The sequence below is a fragment of the Homo sapiens genome, chromosome 3, assembly GCF_000001405.40.
Source record: "Homo sapiens chromosome 3, GRCh38.p14 Primary Assembly".
Classification (NCBI taxonomy): domain Eukaryota; kingdom Metazoa; phylum Chordata; class Mammalia; order Primates; family Hominidae; genus Homo; species Homo sapiens.
Genome location: NC_000003.12, coordinates 76,456,097 through 76,475,366, shown reverse-complemented (window position 1 = coordinate 76,475,366; position 19,270 = coordinate 76,456,097). Strand labels below are relative to the sequence as shown.

At 36.5% G+C, this 19,270-nt stretch overlaps 1 protein-coding gene across 29 annotated transcripts in view, besides 1 other annotated feature; it reads right to left on the bottom strand.

Moving 5' to 3' along the window:
* Positions 1–19,270, bottom strand: part of ROBO2 (roundabout guidance receptor 2) — a 1,743,290-nt gene that overhangs the window by 1,174,598 nt on the left and 549,422 nt on the right. The gene's annotated exons all lie outside the window — the stretch shown is intronic.
* Positions 4,526–5,725: an enhancer, noted in NCBI's record as "CDK7 strongly-dependent group 2 enhancer chr3:76518793-76519992 (GRCh37/hg19 assembly coordinates)". NCBI's record gives its function as "activates an origin of replication core promoter dependent on BRD2, BRD4, P300/CBP, MED14 and CDK7 cofactors, with strong dependence on CDK7, by STARR-seq in HCT116 cells {active_cell/tissue: HCT116}" and the evidence as "EXISTENCE:reporter gene assay evidence [ECO:0000049][PMID:35650434]".

Below are 19,270 nucleotides of genomic sequence, written 5' to 3'. Positions count from 1 at the left end.
CATTGTCTCTCCTTCCACTTCATCCTCATTCAAATCTGGTTCTACTTTTTTTTCCAGCAGTCCCTGAACAGTCCAAGCATGTTCTAGAGCCTTTGACATTACTTTTCTCTCTGCTTTAAACCTGTTTACCACAGACATTTCCATGCCTTACTCTCTATTTTATTTTTTCCCGTGGTCAAATACCATCTTATGAGTGAACCTGGTCCTGCCTACCCTATTTGAACTATCATCTCATATTACCCCCTTTTTTTCCCCCGTGCTATATTACATGGTCAACTAGCTAGTGTTTAAAAATATTTCCTCCCCATCTTCCTATCTTGGTGGGCAAACTGTCCTCCCCATTCCTCAGCCTTTTCCTTGTTTAGGCTGACGATGGAAGTAGGGCGTTCAAAGCACCGTTTGGTTGGGCTTGTTATCTTGCGTTTCTGACGTTGCCATGAGAAGCACATGCCCATAGCCTGTGGATTCTAAGAGGAAGACGAGAGCAGCATGGAGCAGAGGAAGTCCAGCCTAACCATCTGGGTGGAGTCCAGCTCAGTTTAGTCAGTTTCGAATCTGCAGATGCAAGAGTGAGCCCAGCTGATACCTGTGGAGCCACCTAATTCAAACTTCAGCTGATCTCCAGCGGATTCCAGACACTCGAGTGAAATAGAGGTTTATTGCTGCAGGGCACAGCTGAAATTTTGGTGATTGATACATAGTATTTTTGTGACAATGTCCAGTTGACACATACTGAGTTTTTATGGCACAGTCACTGTCTCACATACTATATATTTGTGTGTTTACTTATTGTCGTGTTCCTCTTCCTGAATATATGCTCCTTGAGAAGAGGCACTTTTGTTGCTGTTGTTTATTACTGCTTTTCTACCACTTAGAACGGGGCCTGGCACTTAGTAATCTCTTAATAAATATGTGTGAAATAAATGATCTATGCTGTCTTATTCTATTATTTAAAATGTGTAGAAAGTTAGCTAGCAGCTAAGTGGATAAAACAGACATAGTCTATGTCCTCATGGAAATTATAACCTAAATACTGGTATATAATAATGTATCATTTAACTAAGATAAATCTAGAACTCTATAGTTACAATATTTATAATTTCCTCTCTAGTGGCATTAATAAAACTAAACAGCTGTTACAAGAAAAATATTTTCACTTAAAGCACTTCCTGTAAAATGACATGAAATTAATCACCCTATTAAGATAACATACACTTACATGTAATCGACCTGGTATAGTATTTATAATTCAATTATGTCTTTGTTTATCCTTTTCAGAGCTCTGAAGAGGAACTTACTCTATAACCTTCTTCCTTTCTTTTTTTCCATTCTTTGTCAATTATCAATTAAACATCTAATACTTGCAAAACACTACACATGAGATGCTTCAAGTTAGATACAGAAAAACAAGGTTAAAATCCATAGGGTCTGGAAAAATAATAATCTTCTTAGGAAGACATCTACTCCAAAAACAGGCTAGACATTTTAGGAAGTAAATATGACCATCTGCACTTTGTTCTAACTTGCATCTGCAACCTACATTCATAGCTCTCTCTTGCCACCTGAAAAAATTTAACATTTCTTCAATGTCTCATTCTTTTTTACATTTCTTCCTTTTACCTGTGTTGCTTGTTGTATCTCCCTAGATATCATTCAACATTCTTTAATTGAAAAAGAGGTTATTATTTTTACAAAACTATTACAAATGTTACCTGAAAGGCATCACCTCTATCCCCTTATATGATCGCCTCACCAGATTTTCTATAGTAAGTTTTACGTGAATATATTTTTTCTGGTGAAAGTGGCTGTTGTTCTAGTCAGACTCTCAAAGGAAGTGTTGACCTCCAAAACTTATAAATCATTCACTAGAATGTAAATCTTTTACAGACAGAAATTCTATTCTATTTATTTATTACAAGAGTCTGAGAGGAAGGTATTCAGAACATACTTGTCAAAAGCAAAAATAATTTGTTAAATAATCATGTAGGTGTGAATCCATTACACATCAAAATGAATCGTACTAAATAGACATTGTTCTATTGGCTCAAGGAAGAGGGGCTTGTTGAGTTGGAGCACTCAGGTACTCAAAAGAGGCAGAACTTGAACAAGGCCTGAAGATACAGGGCAGAAATAGAATATGAGGAGCTGACAACAAGTTGAATTACATATAGAAGAAAACAACAACTCAAAAAGACTGGAAGCCTGGAATGAACTGTAAATGCCCGTGGGAGTCAGTCTGGATAGATGTGGAGTGTTGATGTGTACTCCTTTAGAACAAATTGCATTCATTTTGACAGTTCCTCGGCTTTGTTCATTATGAAGCCTTATGGAGCCGTCTTTTAAGTTAAATCATAAAAAAATTGCATTTTTGGATGCGTAAACACCACTGATAGTCTTCTCGATTCTTTGACCTTTTTAAAATTTTTATTTTCAAGACACCGACAGCATGGATTACCTGTGTCTGTTCAGCACTTTTTTCATGAGACTGACATGCTGTCCCAGCGATCACATCTATCAACATCTCCCTGATTTATCGGCTTAATAACAGGAAATCATTGGGTAGCCCAGCTCTATTTTGCTTGAACACTGACTTGTGACCTTAATCTGATGCCTTTCAAGCATCTTTGTTTTTCCATATAAGACCAATTAAATTGAAACATTTTTAAGAGATTATATAACAAAATATGTGACATTTAAACATTTAAAGTTAATTTTTCTCTCAAGTGGGTAAAAAATTAAAGATTAATTTTATTCTAAAGAAATCAGCACAGATCACTTCAACAATAGTTATTAAAGCAATTGACATATGCTACCTAAGAGCACTTTTTAAAATCAATGTCGTGGCTGGAGAAATGCACTAAGTCCAATTGTTATTTATTAATGTATCAGGTATAGATAGTAGGATGAGGATTGCAGTCGGCATTCCTTTGCGTAACAAATTTCTTTTACAGATCTGCACTTCTGTTTCTCAGAATAATATTATTTATTTTCAAATTCACTATTCAATTCTACTTCTTTTAGTATAAGTGAAATTACACTAAAAACTCATAAGCTATTGAATTTTAAAAACAACAAAAATATTTGAGACTTTATATATAAACACATATTATTTTAAATATTGCTATATTACAATAAAAATCAAATAGGAAATGATCATTTTCATTTTTGCTGAATACATATTGCATATTTTTTTCTGTCACTTTTATGGTAGGAAATGTGGCTATAGGTTTATGGAAGAAGTGATACACATGCGCACGCACACGCGCACACACACACACACACACACACACACACACACACACATTTTATCAGACCACAGAGAAATGTTGAAATGGTTTGGCTGTGTCCCCACCCAAATCTCATCTTGAATTGTAGTTCCCATAATCTCCACATGTCGTGGGAGGGACCTGATGGGAGGTCACTGAATCGTGAGGGCGGTTACCTCCATGCTTTTCTCATGGTAGTGAATGAGTTCTCATGAGATCTGATGGGCTTTTCCCCCTTTGCTTGGCACTTCTCCTTCCTGCCATCACGTGATGAAGGATGTGTTTGCTTCCCCTTCTGCCATGATTGTAAGTTTCCTGAGGCCTTCCCAGCCTGCAGAACTGTGAGTCAATTAAACCTTTTCCTTTATAAATTACTCAGTCTCAGGCAGTTCTTAATAACAGCATGAGAACAGACTAATACAAATGTTATACTTTTAGACATTCAATATTAATTTGATGAAAACTATTATATCACATGAACTGAAAATAGATTTCCTTTAAGAATTTTTGAAAATTATGCAAAACTTCCATTTTGCATGTAATGACATGCAGTTTCACAAAACTGTGTGAAGAATCACAGTCTTCAGTTTTAAATATCTTTATTGAAATTATACAGAACAGCCTTCATGTCAGGCAATCAAGGCAGTGTGTTATAGATAGTTATCAGGCTTCCCTTGTAGTTTATGAGTAATTCACAGCTTATTGTTGAACCATTCAGAAAGGACATAGGCTCATAAAATGAAGGGATACATATACAGCAAAAGACTGGAAATTAAACCTACTAGAAGCAGCTCTAAAAATGTGTCTAGTCTAAGAGCAAAATAAGTGCTTCTTCTTATCCAGTTATTCAGCAAGGATTTATTTCTTGCCCTGTTACCTGCCATGACTTCTTCATATAAAATTGGCTAATAGTTTGTCGCTGCCCTCAAGTAATTTAAAATGATTACAGTGTCCAATGATACAAGTATTCACAGGTTGCAACAGGAATAGAAAACAGCTGGAAGACTGTTAGAGAGACTTCCCATAAAGAATGACAGCTTCTACATTTATATTGTAAAGAATGAATAAAGTTAGAAAAACCTAGCAAATAAAAAACAAATACAAAACATCTTGTAGAAGAGCATATAAGAAAGTTTTATGGTGGCCTAAAACTACATTATTACTATACTCAGGAAACTAAATGCATGCAGCCAAGTGTATGTATAAATAAATGGGGTTGGAATAGGGGTCAAAGGTAAGACTACAGGTATAGGCAAAGGCAGGATTAGGAAATACCATTGATGTATGTTACGTGAAGTAACACAGATGGTAGCAATTAGTCTCCAAAGATGGCCCCCAAAAGAACCATACTCTCAGTATTAATATTCTTCTAGAGTTTCTTTCTATTAAATATGAGCTAATCCAGTGGTTCACTTTTAACCAAAGAAAATATAGTGAAAGTTATAATATGTTCCTTTTAAGGCTGCATTGTCAATACATTTTGTGGCTTCTATCTCAGTCTCTTGAGGTAGTTGTTGGTATGCTTCTTCTTAGAACCTAGAAGCTCTGGTATGAGAAGCCCGAGTCACGTAGAGAGGCCACAATAGGGGATTCAGTCAACATCTTAAGCTAAGCTCCCAGCCACAGCAGTGAGTCATGTGTGAGCCATTTTGGGTTGTACAGCTTCCTGAAGCCTTCAGATGACTATGATCCTGGTCAACATCTAACTGCAACCCTGTAAAGGACCCCAAGCAAGAACTGATCAGAAGAGCTTTGTCAACCCTTGGGACAATGAGAAATAATAAAGCTTTGTCCTAAGTCACTAAGCTTTAGAGAGATCTGCTTCACAGCAATAGGTAACTGAAATAGAATCCACTTATCAATTTTAAATCTGGACTGCATTTAGGAAAATCACTCCAGCTGTGATAGCAATGATAAAACAAAGAAAGACCTCCAAGGCAGCCATACTAGTTATTGCAGACACTTGGATAAATTTGATGGGATTTGAATGTAAGACAATGGAATGGAGCAGATCTAAGAGATAATAAGACATACAATCTACAGGACCTGATGCCTTGATATCTCACAGGACCTGTGTGTAGAGGGAATGGTAAGCAAAAGTAAGGGTCCAAGCTGGCTTGCAGAATAGTATATTTTACTTCTTCCTTTTTCTTTCTTTATTCATTTATCAGATGTGTATTGAATCCTGATATCTGTGAGAAAGGTAAGCAAAAAGAAGAAAATTTACTGGATCTCTTGGTTCTTACAGTGTAGTGAGAGAAGACAAAATTTAATGACATCATCTCCTCAAATCAGTGAGGTTACTAGTGTAGAGAAAAAGAAACCAGTAGAAGCAGATCAAGCCATAGGGGTGCGGGAGTAGAACGTAGACAGAGGACTCTGTGACTAACTAGAGGGATTTCAAAGGTGATGAGTAGTTAACTGAACCAGTGGGAATAGTCATTCTACCTTCTAGAAAGAAAAATACAATAAACACAGGGCAAATGACACATTCAGGAAATTAAAAGAAGAAAAGGGATAATAAGTATTGCAAAGAGAGAGGTGTGGGGGGACAGTATGCGTTAAGGCTCAAGTGAGTAGGCAGGGGTGAAATCTTACAAGCCTTGCCAGCCTTTTAATAGACTTTGTATTTATTCTAATAGGATGTGGAACTCATCAAACGGGTTTGGGAAGAAGTTTGATACCAATTTTTCTCACCACTGTATCATTCTGGCTTTAGTGTAGAGGACAAATTGAGGAATGACAAGAGTTTATATTAGGATTACGGCAAGTGGTCTATTAGAATAAGAGCATTACAGCACCTGACATATGCTAAGTAGTCAATAAGTCAATAAATGTTAGCAATTATCATCATCCTCATCATTGTCATCATCATCATTATTATCGTCATTGTCATCTTCAACTAGATTAATGGAGAGCAGACAGATTCAAAATACATTTTGAGGTAATATGAAAAATGATGGTCATTTGACTGTGGGGTCGGGGAATAAGAAGTAGAATTCACTATTAATTGACTTAATTCATTAATAAAGAAGTAAAAAAAATGACTGCTGGGCTTCAGGTACATTCAACAGGATCAAAGGTGATAGCCATTTGTAAGGGCAGATGATGATGAGTTCTATTTGGAATATGATGAGTCAGAGATCCCCTTTAGAAATAAAAGAGAGACGTGAAGTAGGAACTTAAGAGTAGAATGTGGCTAAAGAGAGAAATGTGTGGTGGCAGCTGAAGCTGTAGATATAAGTTTGTCTAGGTAGAGGGCGAATGGTGAGAAAAAAGGTTTAAGCTTGAGTTATTTGCAGGAAATCCAGCACGGAATGACAAATAGAACAGGTTTAACCTATATATCCTGAAGAGAGAGGACATGGGAGAGAAAAACTAGGTACATGGGCTATCAATAAAGGGAAGAGGTTTTCAGGGAGGAGGGTGTTATCTACACAACAAGTGTTGCTGAGAAATAAGGAGAGATATGATTATTGTTGAACATAGCAGGAAAATATTAGTTAAATAATAAGGACAAAGGCCACATTATATAAAGGCAAGAATTGAGTCAGACATTAAAAAGTGGAGAGAGAAAGACTGAGGCTCTTTCCAGATGTGTGGCTATAAAGGGGAGGGGCAAGAAGTTGAGTGAGAAAAATCTTGTTGTTATTGTATCCTTTCATTGCTTTTGCACGTTTCCAATATTGGAGAGTGTGCTTTAAGGTTGATAGAAAGGTTCCAGGTGAAAAGAGGCAACGAATAAACAGGAGACAGGATAATTAATTGCCAGTGTCCATATAAAGTATAGCTTTATTGATTCCAATGTCAAATGTAGTTATTTGTTTAAAGTGCTGACAATGGATTCAATTCCCATATTTGAATCCTCACTTTGCCAGTTGCTATCCAATGTAGCCTTGGACAATTTACTTAACCCTTTTCAGGCTATAATTCCTCACATCCAAAACAGGGGCAATAATAGTTTCTGTATGATAGGAATAAGTGAGAATTAAATGAGTAATCCACAATTTAAATGATGATTTTTAACACAGAACTTGGCACATTAGGGGCTTTTGTAAATGACAATTTCTATCATTATTTCTTCTTGCTAAAAACTGTCAGAGATAAAACTTGCTATTTATTCCTCTTTGAGCTAAGCTCATATTTAGAAGAAAATTAATTTTTAAAAAAATACTACTTATGACATCTCAAATATATTGCCACTGAATGCTCAAAATATTGTAAACATAGAGTCTAAAAAACTCTTAAATGCAACATGCTATTGCTTAAGACAAATCCCTATCAAACATTATTAATATTAATTTATACCACAAATTATCTATCCACTACGAGTTGGAATACTATAATTTTGGTATTTTAATACACCTAAAAAGGTTGTTCTGCTTTTCTTACCAGTTCACATAAAGCCCAGTATACTTCAGGCTTCCTTCCTCCATCTTGTAATGACACCAGCTAGATAGAACTTACAGCTATCAGGGTCATTGTTGGAGTGGAACAGAGGAATGGACAGCTGGCTGTTAAATTGTCTGGCTCAGAAATGGCACATGTGACTTCTAATGGTCTTTCCACCAAAACTAGTCACATGGTTCCGACTTGACATCAAGGGAGAATTGGGAATATAGGAAACACATAAAATATTTGGTGACCACCACCTCTTTCTGCCATATTTCTAAACATGTGTATTTTATTACTTCACATGTTATTTAAATGATAGAAACATGGAAATACTGGCATAATTTTTGGATAGCTAAATCTTGTTTTCTTAGCTTTTCTATAAGAAACACGCTTTATACAGTAACCATGAGTTTTTTAAAATAATAATCACCTTTGGTTGTCTTATAATTAGAAATAAAAAATGGCTGCATTATTATTTTCAAAAATAAAGGACAAGTCTAGTGTCTCTTCATTTTTATCTGCCATCCAATGGCTTGGTTAAAAAGAGTTGGTAGGATTTAGACATCTAACACAAGTTTTTTCTTGATATTTATATATCACTAAACATGAACATATAAAATATATTTCCTCATTTTGGTCCTTTTTATTGAACACAATTACATGGTGTAGTATATTGTTTTTCAGCTGTCTTGAAACTATTAATAGTTTATAACTGTCCTACCATTTTATCTATTAAAATGTCATCATGACATGTCAGCATGATGCTTGTTTTCTAAACAGAAACAAATTTGTATCTGTACATACATAAAGCTTAGTGTTAAAGCAAATTTTATTTCATGATCGTGAATCATGATAGGAGTGCAATACTATGAATTTAGTGGCTGATGGAGCAATGAGAAAGGTCCTATATATCTAAAGATTAGATGTCACAGAGGGTCCCTGATGTTCTGAATGTACAAAATTCAGTGTTGGCAATATAACCTATGTATCTAAGACACACATTCTCAAAATGAAACATGCTGAAAGCTAGCCAGAGCTTTCTGATAGGAAATGATGGGTCAACAAAAAATAGTCTCTAGAAGCTTATATGAAAAAATCGTAAGGAATATAAATAAAAATATTGATTATCAGATATTTATGAGCAACAAGTGTTTCATTGTACACCATCATACATTCATATTATTTCTCCTCTTTAAAACATTTCCATGGAACAAAAAAATAGAGCATTGCATATCAATTTTCTACTGAATAAAAAAAGAATAGTATGCTTGATCTTGCTAAAAGCTTGTACTTTCTGAATGTTAAAATACTTTATTTTGAAAGTGGCATGAAACACAGTAAGATCGACGTAGGTGATCCCAAGGCTTAAATTAATGATTAATTTAATGTATAAAAGAAAACAATAGAAATTATGAAGCCCAGGTATTAATAATTCTTCCTGACAACAAATGAATTAATATTATAAATGCTTATTCAGAATATATTTTTCTACCATGCTAAGATAAAGATGAGTGATATCATATGTAGGTATACAGTTTGGTGTTCTAAGAGCTATTCATGGTTCAGAATCATTATTGGGCATGCAATATAGGTACTTTGTTGCAAGAATTTAAAAAATTATGTACATTTTATACATGAAGTATATATTGTATATATGTTTTAGACAATTTTACATACACACACACACACACACACACACACACACACCCATATTTTATCCAGGATATTTTAACTGGAGTGAGGAGCACAGAGATCAAAAGGAGAAAATGTATGGTAGGAAAAAAGGGCCAGTGTTTTTTTGTCTTTGCTTATCAAACTAAAAGCTCCTCACTTAGCTTATGTACCAAGTAAGAGTAATTAAAATGCCTTGATTTCAATCTCCCTTAGGCAGTGGTCTTCATAATATTTGAAGGTTAACATCAAGCCATTCAAACAATATATCTTTAGAACAATGGACACTTCTCCTGTGAAATAGACTGGAAAAATATGATAGCATACAGAAATTATATTAAAATGGTGGTTCTTCAACCTGACGAATATCAGGAGTGTTATTTTCTGAAAGACACCATCAAAATTAGAAACATCTATCTTCAGCCAACTCTCAATTATCTACATGTAGATTATCCACTGTGAATGATCTGCTGCAATTTTATAATTTCAAATAATTTCTTCTTATCATCCATCATTTTTCTGAATTAATCATCCAGTGCTTCAGTAATAAATCAAAAATCTCATAAAAGCAAAATACAATGGCTTATGGGATGGGTGGGTATAAAATGCCTTATCCCAGATCCCAATTGATTTCAAACTTTAGTATAAACTATTTTTATTACCCACTATTTTTTCATATTTACAATATTTCTTCTATAATTGGTCAAATAATAAAATGTGAAATGTACGTTTTAACATAACTCATGATACATGTATATGCATTCACATATACTTTTGACTAACATGAATCCTCCCAGTAGAAACATATCTTAAGATATCTGGATAGAACCTAATAAAAAGGGAAACCAGTTCCTGTAGATGTCTTCTATCTTCAATACACTTTGTTCTTACGCCTCAACAAAAATATAAAAATTATGATTCATGTAGTAAATATTTCTTGAGTTATTCTGTGTGCCAAACATTAATCTAGGCATTAGGAATTCATGTACTTGTTTACCAAACCAATAGAATACCTTCCCTTGATGAGTTTCTTTTCTTTTTGAAAAAGATTAGAAACAAATACATGAATAAATGAATGAATAAAATTACAGACACTCATAAAGATTGTAAGGAAGATAATACTTGGTATTGTATAGAGATGAATGGAAGAAATGGTTTATCTAGGAGAGTCATAAGATACTGAGGAATAATATTTCAAAAGGCCTAAAGGATTTGATGAACATAAGGATTTGTGTATATGGGAATGTGTACATCATTCCTTAATTAAACTACAATATCCATTTAATCTTGAAAACTTGAAACTAAAATTCTTGAAAACTAAATTTTCCCTCATTTCCAGGGAGAAATTAGTTTTTTATATTTTGGTTATTTAGTTTCCAGTAGAGAAAGGGTAAAGGAGTTTATATTATTGTTATTTTAAATTCTTAAGTCCAAGTCTCTTTTATTTTTTTTTTGAGATTAGTCTAATACACCATTGAGCCCTACTGAGGTGGAAAGAAACTGACTCTGGGGTTTTATTGAGTATATATTGAGAGGAGTTCCTAGAGAGAGAGTGGTTTGGTGTGATCCTTAGGGGTAGGATTAGGAGAAAGAAAAGACGAAGGAAGCTAGGTCCATGGATTTGGCAGTGTGGGACTAAACCTTGAAGGGGTTTTGTTCTGTACCTTAGAATGTGCTTAAGATAAAAAACCTGGGAAACGTTTTCACATCAATTGTATGTCTTGGGAGTAGAGGTGTTGCCTTTCCAGTGCTTCTCAGTCTCTACATACTATTCGTCCAATCATCATTTAATGACATCAGTAACCTGTAGATATGAAAGAAAATTTGTATGCCAAAATCTTTCAGCCTTTCCTTAGGAAGTCTTTCTACTACAACTTAGGACAATCACAAATCTGAATCTATACTTCATAACTAGATTAGGACAGTGAGAGGCACCAGACTGTGAAATGCGTTTGAAAGGAGAACAAGGCCCCTTCCCACTTCTGTCAATGCCTATTTCTCTTTCCAACTCCTATTATTCTCCTTCTCTCCTCCTCTGTCTCTCTTCTCACCTCTTCCAATCACACCTTCTGATCCATTTAATTACTGTTAAAGGATTAACAAACAGCTATGATTTTAGGTGACTTAACTAGCAGAGTTAAGTTGAACAGGCCCTTACTTGAGGGGTTGTTTGCTCTGTGGGACATGGCAAAGACTTTCTGTTGAGCTCGAAATTGCAACTACCAGTGAGCTACTTTGTGTTTTTCATGCCAGTGGATCTGCAGGCAAAGAAAAGAGTTACTATGTTGCAGGTGGCAATAGATAACCCTGAGGATCTATGGCTGTCCTGATGGATGCGCGGAGGAGTGTGTCTAGGACCTAGATTAGGCACTGGGGCAACTCTTAGTGCTCTTGTACCAGGTGGTAACTATAAATGAGCCAGTCAGAAACCACAGCCCATAAATAAAAAGACAACTAAGGGCTCAAATTTCCTGAGAAAAAAGGTTTGGAGTATTAATGCCCTAATTTCCCCAAAAGTGAGACCCGGGGGACCAGAACTGCCAGTAGAGTACTCAAAAAATCTGGAATGGAAGATGGAGGTGACAGATGAGGAATGTCAATTGTGAACCTAGGATTAGCTGCAGCATGAAAATTATAGTTTTTTTTATTTTGTTTTTTTTTCCCAAACACTTTCTAAGATTTGTTAGGAGAATGCAAGTGACTGCTATCTTTAAGGGTTGAAATCGACCTCTCTTTCTAGGGAAGAAGTTAGGGTACCTTGACCTCATACAAGATTCAAATACCATGAAAGGATGAAAGCATGTGTGAGTGGCCCGGGGTGCACAGTGTCCTCCCTAAATCGTAGGTCACCCCATACTACTCGATCCTGCCTGTGCCATTGAGCCTCAGGTGCTTTCACTGTTTTCCCAGCGGGAGCAGCCTTGGATATAGGCCATGCTATTCCCACGGTAGGAGATTCCTGGCCACAGCCTCCACTTCCCTGCTGTCATAAGTGGAGTACAACCATGTAATGCGGTGATGGGCAAAGTGAGTGGACCTACACACTGTTCAGACTGGGCCTGTGGATGCTAGGGCTGTAAACAACCATGAATCAGCCAATTTACTTAAGCTAGGCAGTGTAAAATTTGCCCAAAGAGGGACAAAGGGTAGCACTATAAAGAATTGCCAAAAACTGATTCAAAGAAGAAAAAGGGCTTTCTTCAGAAGAAAATTTAACCAGTGACTTACAAACTCTTCTGACAATGACCGACAGTAATTCACATAGTTTACATCACACTGTAGTGTGAATACATAGCACTTTTATACATTCTTACATACATTCATGCATAAAGTCCAGCTGAAATAAACAAGCTATATTTCCTCTTACTCCCTGTGATGCATTCTGGTATTTTCCTTTATAGTGTATCTTATTCTTTTTTTTTTTTTTTAATACTTTAAGTTTTAGGGTACATGTGCACATTGTGCAGGTTAGTTACAAATTGCTGATCTTTGTAATCTATAATTGCACCATAAAATACATTTAGTAAGTAATAACTAACATTAAAGAAATGCATCACTGATGGTAATGGCACAACATTATTTTGTGAATAATCTGTTTTAGTCATATACACGTCCATATACCTGCATGTATGTGTGTGTGTGTATATGTACTGAGTTTTCATATAATGTAACATATCAAAAAATCGCTCGAATGTTTCTGCTCTAAACTGTGAAAATTCAAATTAGAAATTGAGGGGAAAGAGCTCGGTGAGTAAGCCTGAAGACTTACACCTGAATGTACAATTTTATCATGTTAGAATGAAAAATCGACATTTGGCAAATATTTATTATTATGCTTTTGCATTGTACTTATCTACTTATTTCTCCTAATAGTCTTTGATAAATCACTTTTGAAAATTCCAAGTGGATTCAGCCAGGCTGAGAAAAGCAAAAAAGAGCTATTTGAGTCACATATAGACATAAAAAATGGCAGAGATGATGTGTGTACTCAGGAGTTTAGATGTGATTGAGGTTGTTGTTGGTGGGGATGGAGGAGGAAAGAGGATTAGATAAAGAACTGAAAAAGCTGAAGGGACTTAATCTGGTCCTTTTATGCTTACGTTATGCTTACGTTAAAGTTTTTGCTCTTATTCTCTCTATTTCTCTATTGTTACTTTTAAATAAAAAGGCTTCTAAGCAACTAAGGATGGCACAAATGTACCACAGGGCACAAAAAGAAAAATATTTAAAAAGGATGGGCTTAGGATTTGGGGCAACAATATTAATTTATTTACTTTAAAAATTTTCATTTACTTAGGTCTAAGTTGTTTTTCAAAGTATAGGTGATACATTTCATTGCTTACCAAGAGCTTTGAAGAATTTGTAAAGAAATTGTTCTGAAATATTTTCAGATGAAGCTCAATTAAATAACACTTTTAGAAATATCATCTTGCTTAAGAATTCCTTCTTTATCCCAAAGTCATAAAGATATTTTCTTGCTTTATTCTAAAGGTTTAAAGCTTCATTTTTTACCTTTAAATCTTTAAGCCACATAGATATTACTTTTAAGCATTGTGTGATACAGTAATTTTCTCTATATTTTCATCATAATTTTCCTAATACTCTTATTATTGTTCTACAATAGTGGTTGATATAGACTAGATATTTGTCCCTGCCCAAATCTCGTGTTGAATTGTAACCCCAGTGCTGGAGGCAGAGCCTGGTGGGAGATGTTTGGATCACAGGGGAGGACCCCTCATGTTTTGGTGCTGTCTTCATGATAGTGAGATCTTGTGAGATCTGACTGTTTAAAAGTATGTGACACCTCCCCTACAACCCCAGCCTTGCTCCACTCAGGCCATGTGACATGCCTGCTCCCCTTTTACCTTCTGCCATGATTATAAGTTTCCTGAGGCCTCCCTGGAAGCCCAGAAGATGCCAGCACCATGCTTCTTTTAAAGCTGGCATAACTGTGAGCCAGTTAAACCTCTTTTCTTTATAAATTACCCAGTCTCAGGTATTTCTTTATAGCAATGCAAGAATGGCCTAATACAGTGGTATTCTGACTTATATTAAGATTTTATCGATGCATGGCTTTGTTTCTGTATTGTCTATTCTTTTCCATAGTTCTATTTATTTAGTAATCGACAGCTATCACAGTCTTAATCACTAGGGATTAACATGTCTTGGTATTTTTCTTAGATATCTACAGCTGCATCACAGATTATTCCAGAATTTAATGATTTAAAACAACAGTAAACATGTATTCTCTCTCACATATTGCGCAGGTCAGAAACTCTATAGTGGATTAGCTATGCAGTTTTAGCTCAGAGTCTCTTATGAAGTCAAGAAACTGGCTGGAGCTGTTGTCATCTGCAGGCTTAATTGGACTAGAGGATTTGCTTTCAACGTGGCTCACTCACGTGGCTGGCAAGTTGGTGTTCCTTGTTGGTGGAGAGCCTCAATTCCTATCCACAAAGGTAATTTTCTCCTGGTTGCTTGAATGTCCTTACAACATGTCAGCTGGTTTGTCCCATTGTATGCAACCAAGAGAGCAAGAGAGCCAGAGGTAAAGCTATTCATTTTACGACTTACCCTTAGCAGCCACAAAGCACCACTTGTCTATATTCTATCCATTCAAAGTGAGTCACCATGCCCAGCCTCCATTTACAAAGAATATTTACTGCACACTTATAGGTTTCCTGTTATTTTGAAATGATCATGCTTCTTTTTCTTTTGAGTATGTTAATATAATGGCTTACCTTGATATGTTTTCTAATATTTCACTATTTATGGGATTTTTCAGGTTTCCTATTTTTTTTTCTGCTAAGTTTTGGTAAGTTAAATCTTGGGGTAAATTATCCATTATATTTTTGGCACAAAGTGCATCTTTGTGCTCAGTTTTTTTTTATAAATGTAAATACTCTTTATAAAACACTGTCACAAGAACAAATAAGCATAAACATAAGGCCCCAGAAATGGAGGATAATTAGAGAACATTTTCCTTTGTGTTAAGAAAAAAATAAAGATATCTTTTCTAAGCTTTCTTCTTTTTAATAGTAATATTCTTACATTCATATACTTCTCTTTGGATGACAAAATGGCTTGACACGCTCTCTTGGTTTTTGTTGGTTCATTTGTTAAACCACACATTTGGAGAAGTTATTATTTTTGTCATATTATAGATGAGGAAACTGAACTTAAGTGATCCTTTTATAGAAATGAATGATAAAAAGGCCTTCAAAATAAAACTATGTGATGGGAACATGATGATGTTTTTATTACCTTTTATTAGTTATCTTTTATTTATTAACCACAAGATGAATTCCAATAATGTTGGCAATTTATAGCTGCTCTTAAAGATCAGTGGAGTATATGTCTTATTACATTAATGAACTTTTATAGAAAATTTAGGACCAATTCACGACTTCATACCAATGGCATTTAGTAACAAAGCCATTTACTACTAGTAGCTATTTGCTATACCACGCAATGCAATATGAACATTGAGGCTGAATAAAGTCTATAGTAGTTACTATAATGCCTAAAGAAAAAAGATGTAAGAAACTATACTACTGCCTCCAAAGGGTTTCATATAAAAAAGGTACTTTTAAATAACTCTTTGATACATGAATAGAAAGAAACATAGATTTGCAGGTAGATGTATTTTAATAAATTCTTTTTGCCACTCATCTTTCTAATGAATGTTACACCGTTGAAATTTTATAAGTCTGCATCTGCATCTAGATCTTTCTCTCTCTCTCTCGCTATATATGTATATATATCACTAGGATATGGAAAATAATTCAAATTTTACCCACATTGCATTGAGAGGTATATTTCTTTATAACTCTAGTCTCCATATTATATCACAACCAAATATGTCTGAAAAGAAGAGTCCCAAATCAAACTCACAAACAAACGAAGCGGAGTGAGCCAAAAGGAAAGTGTTTTAATGCATGTAAACAAATAACAAAGCCAGATATAAATTCAGGAATATTTATACATTTTGAGCTCTAACACAGGGTACATTGTATTTATCTCACAGATGATGTATACAGCACCAGCCCTATTTGAAGAAGCCTGATATGGTTTGGCTGTGTCTCCCCCAAACCTAAACTTGAATTGTATCTCCCAGAATTCCCACATGCTGTGAGAGGGATCCAGGGGGAGGTAATTCAATCATGGGGGCTGGTCTTTCCCATGCTATTTTCATGATAGTGAATAAGTCTCATGAGATCTGATGGGTCTACTAGGGGTTTCCGCTTTTGCTTCTTCCTCATTTTCTCTTGCCTCAGCCATGTAAGAAGTGCCTTTTCCCTCCTATCATGATTCTGAGGCCACCCAGCCATGTGGAACTGTAAGTCGAATTAAACCTCCTTTTTCTTCTCAGTCTTGGATATGTCTTTATCAGCAGCGTGAAAACAGAATAATACGGTAAATTGGTATCAGTAGAGTGGGGTCTTGCTGAAAAGATACCCAAAAATATGGAAGCAACTTTGGAACTGGGTAACAGGCAGAGGTTGGAACAGTTTGCAGGGCTAAGAAGAAGACAGGAAAATGTGGGAAAGTTTCGAATTTCCTAGAGACATGTTGAATGGCTTTGCCCAAAATGCTGATAGGGATATGGACAATAAGGTCCAGGCTGAGGCTGTCTCATATGGAGATGAGGAACTTGGGAGCTGGAGTAAAGGTGACTCTTGTTATGTTTTAGCAAAGAGACTGGCAGCATTTTGCCCGTGCCCTACAGATTGTGGGACTTGGAACTTGAGAGAGATGATTTAGAGTATCTGGAGGAAGAAATTTCTAAGCAGCAAAGCATTCAAGAGGTGACTTGGGTGCTGTCAAAGGCATTCAGTTTTATAAGGAAAGTAAGCATAAAAGTTTGGAAAATGTGTAGCCTGACTATGTGATAGAAAAGAAAAACTCATTTTCTTCTGAGAAATTCAAGCTGGCTGCAGAACTTTGCATAAGTAGCAAGGAGCCTAATGTTAATCCTCAAGACCATGGTGAAAATATCTCCAGGCCATGTCAGAGACATGGAGAGAAGCCCCTCCCATCACAGGCCCGGAGGCCCAGGAAGAAAAAGTGATTTCGTGGGCCAGGTCCAGGGTTCCCGTGCTGTGTGCAGCTGAGAGACTTGGTACCCTGTGTCCCAGTCGCCCCAACCAACCATGGCTGAAAGGGGCCAAGGTACAGCTTGGGCTGTGGCTTCAGAGAGTGGAAGCCCCAAGCCTTGGCAACTTCCATGTGGTGTTGAGCCTCAGGGTGCACAGAAGTCAACAATTGAGGCTTGGGAACCTCCGCCTAGATTTCAGAACACGTATGGAAATGCCTGGATGCCCAGGCAAAAGGTTTCTGCACGGGCAGGGCCCTCATGGAGAACCTCAGCTAGCACAGTGTGGAAGGGAAATGTGGGGTCGAGCCCCCACACGGTCTCTACAGGGGCACTGCCTAGTGGAGCTGTGAGAAGAGGTACATCATCCTCAGAATGGCAGATCCACCGACAGCTTGCACCGTGCACCTGGAAAAGCTGCAGACACTCGATGTCAGTCCATGAAAGCAGCAGGGAGGGAGGCTGCACCCTGCAAAGCCACAGGGGCGGAGCTGCCTAAGACCTTTGGAACCCACCTCTTGCATTAGCATAACCTCGATGTGAGACCTGGAGTCAAAAGAGATCCTTTTGGAGCTTTAAAGTTTGACTGCACCGCTGGATTTCGGACTTGCGTGGGCCTTGCAGCCCCTTTGTTTTGGCCAATTTCTCTCATTTGGAATGGCTGTATTTACCCAATATCTGTACCTCCATTGTTTAAGTAACTTGCTTGCTTCTGATTTTACAGGCTCATAGGCAGAAGGGACTTGACTTGTCTCAGATGAGACTTTGGACTGTGGACTTTTGAGTTAATGGTGAAATTAGTTAAGACTTTGGGGGACTACTAGGAAGGCATGGTTGGTTTTGAAATATGAGGACATGAGATTTGGATGGGCCAGGGACAGAATGATATGGTTTGGCTGTGTCTCCACCAAATCTCATCTTGAATTGTATGTCCCAGAATTCTCACATGTTATGGGAGGAACCCACAAGGAGGTAATTGAATCATGGGGGCCAGTCTTCCCCCTGCTATTTTTGTGATAGTGAGTAAGTCTCACGAGCTCTGATGGGTTTATCACGGGTTTCTGCCTTTGCTTCTTTCTCATTTTCTCTTGCTGCCACCATGTAAGAAGTGCTTTTCGCCTCCCACCATGATTTTGAGGCCTTCCCAGCCATGTGGAACTGTAAGTCCAATTAAACCTCTTTTTCTTCCCAGTCTTGGGTACGTCTTTACCAGCAACATGAAAATGGACTAAAACAAAGGCTATTCAAATTGGTCAAGATTATGTAAAAACTCAGCCAAATTACAAACTTTAAAAAGCTGTATGTAAATGCACTTTACTTGATGTGTACTTAATAGTACTCCATCATGTGATTCATATGCCAACTGGCAACTATGGAATCTGACCACCGTCTTAAAGATACAGTCTCCGGAAACCTGGTCCAAGGTCTGAGTCACTGACGTAAAGTACCTGCTGGTACTTTGATCTCATCTTTGCTGCCTTGTTCCCTCAATTTGTTAATTGCATTAGTCAGTTTGAGAAACCTGAGCTTTAGAACAGTGGTTATAATTCAATAACATATGCAACTGGAATGAACTATGATTGATGATATAATTAGAACAATAAAAATTGAACAAACCAATGGAATGTCATTAAATTTCTACCTGAATTTATCAAAATCAATGTAACTACATAACTCCTCCTGGTTTAATGGGAGTTTTATCTTTGCAGTTGCAACATTCATCCAGCAACAGATTAATAGTGAATAAATTATGGTATTGCAATTGGCAAGATTGGAACACCTGCTGTTAGGTACTAGTCCATTTACTGAATATCACATTTTCTCATAACCAAACCTCAAAGAA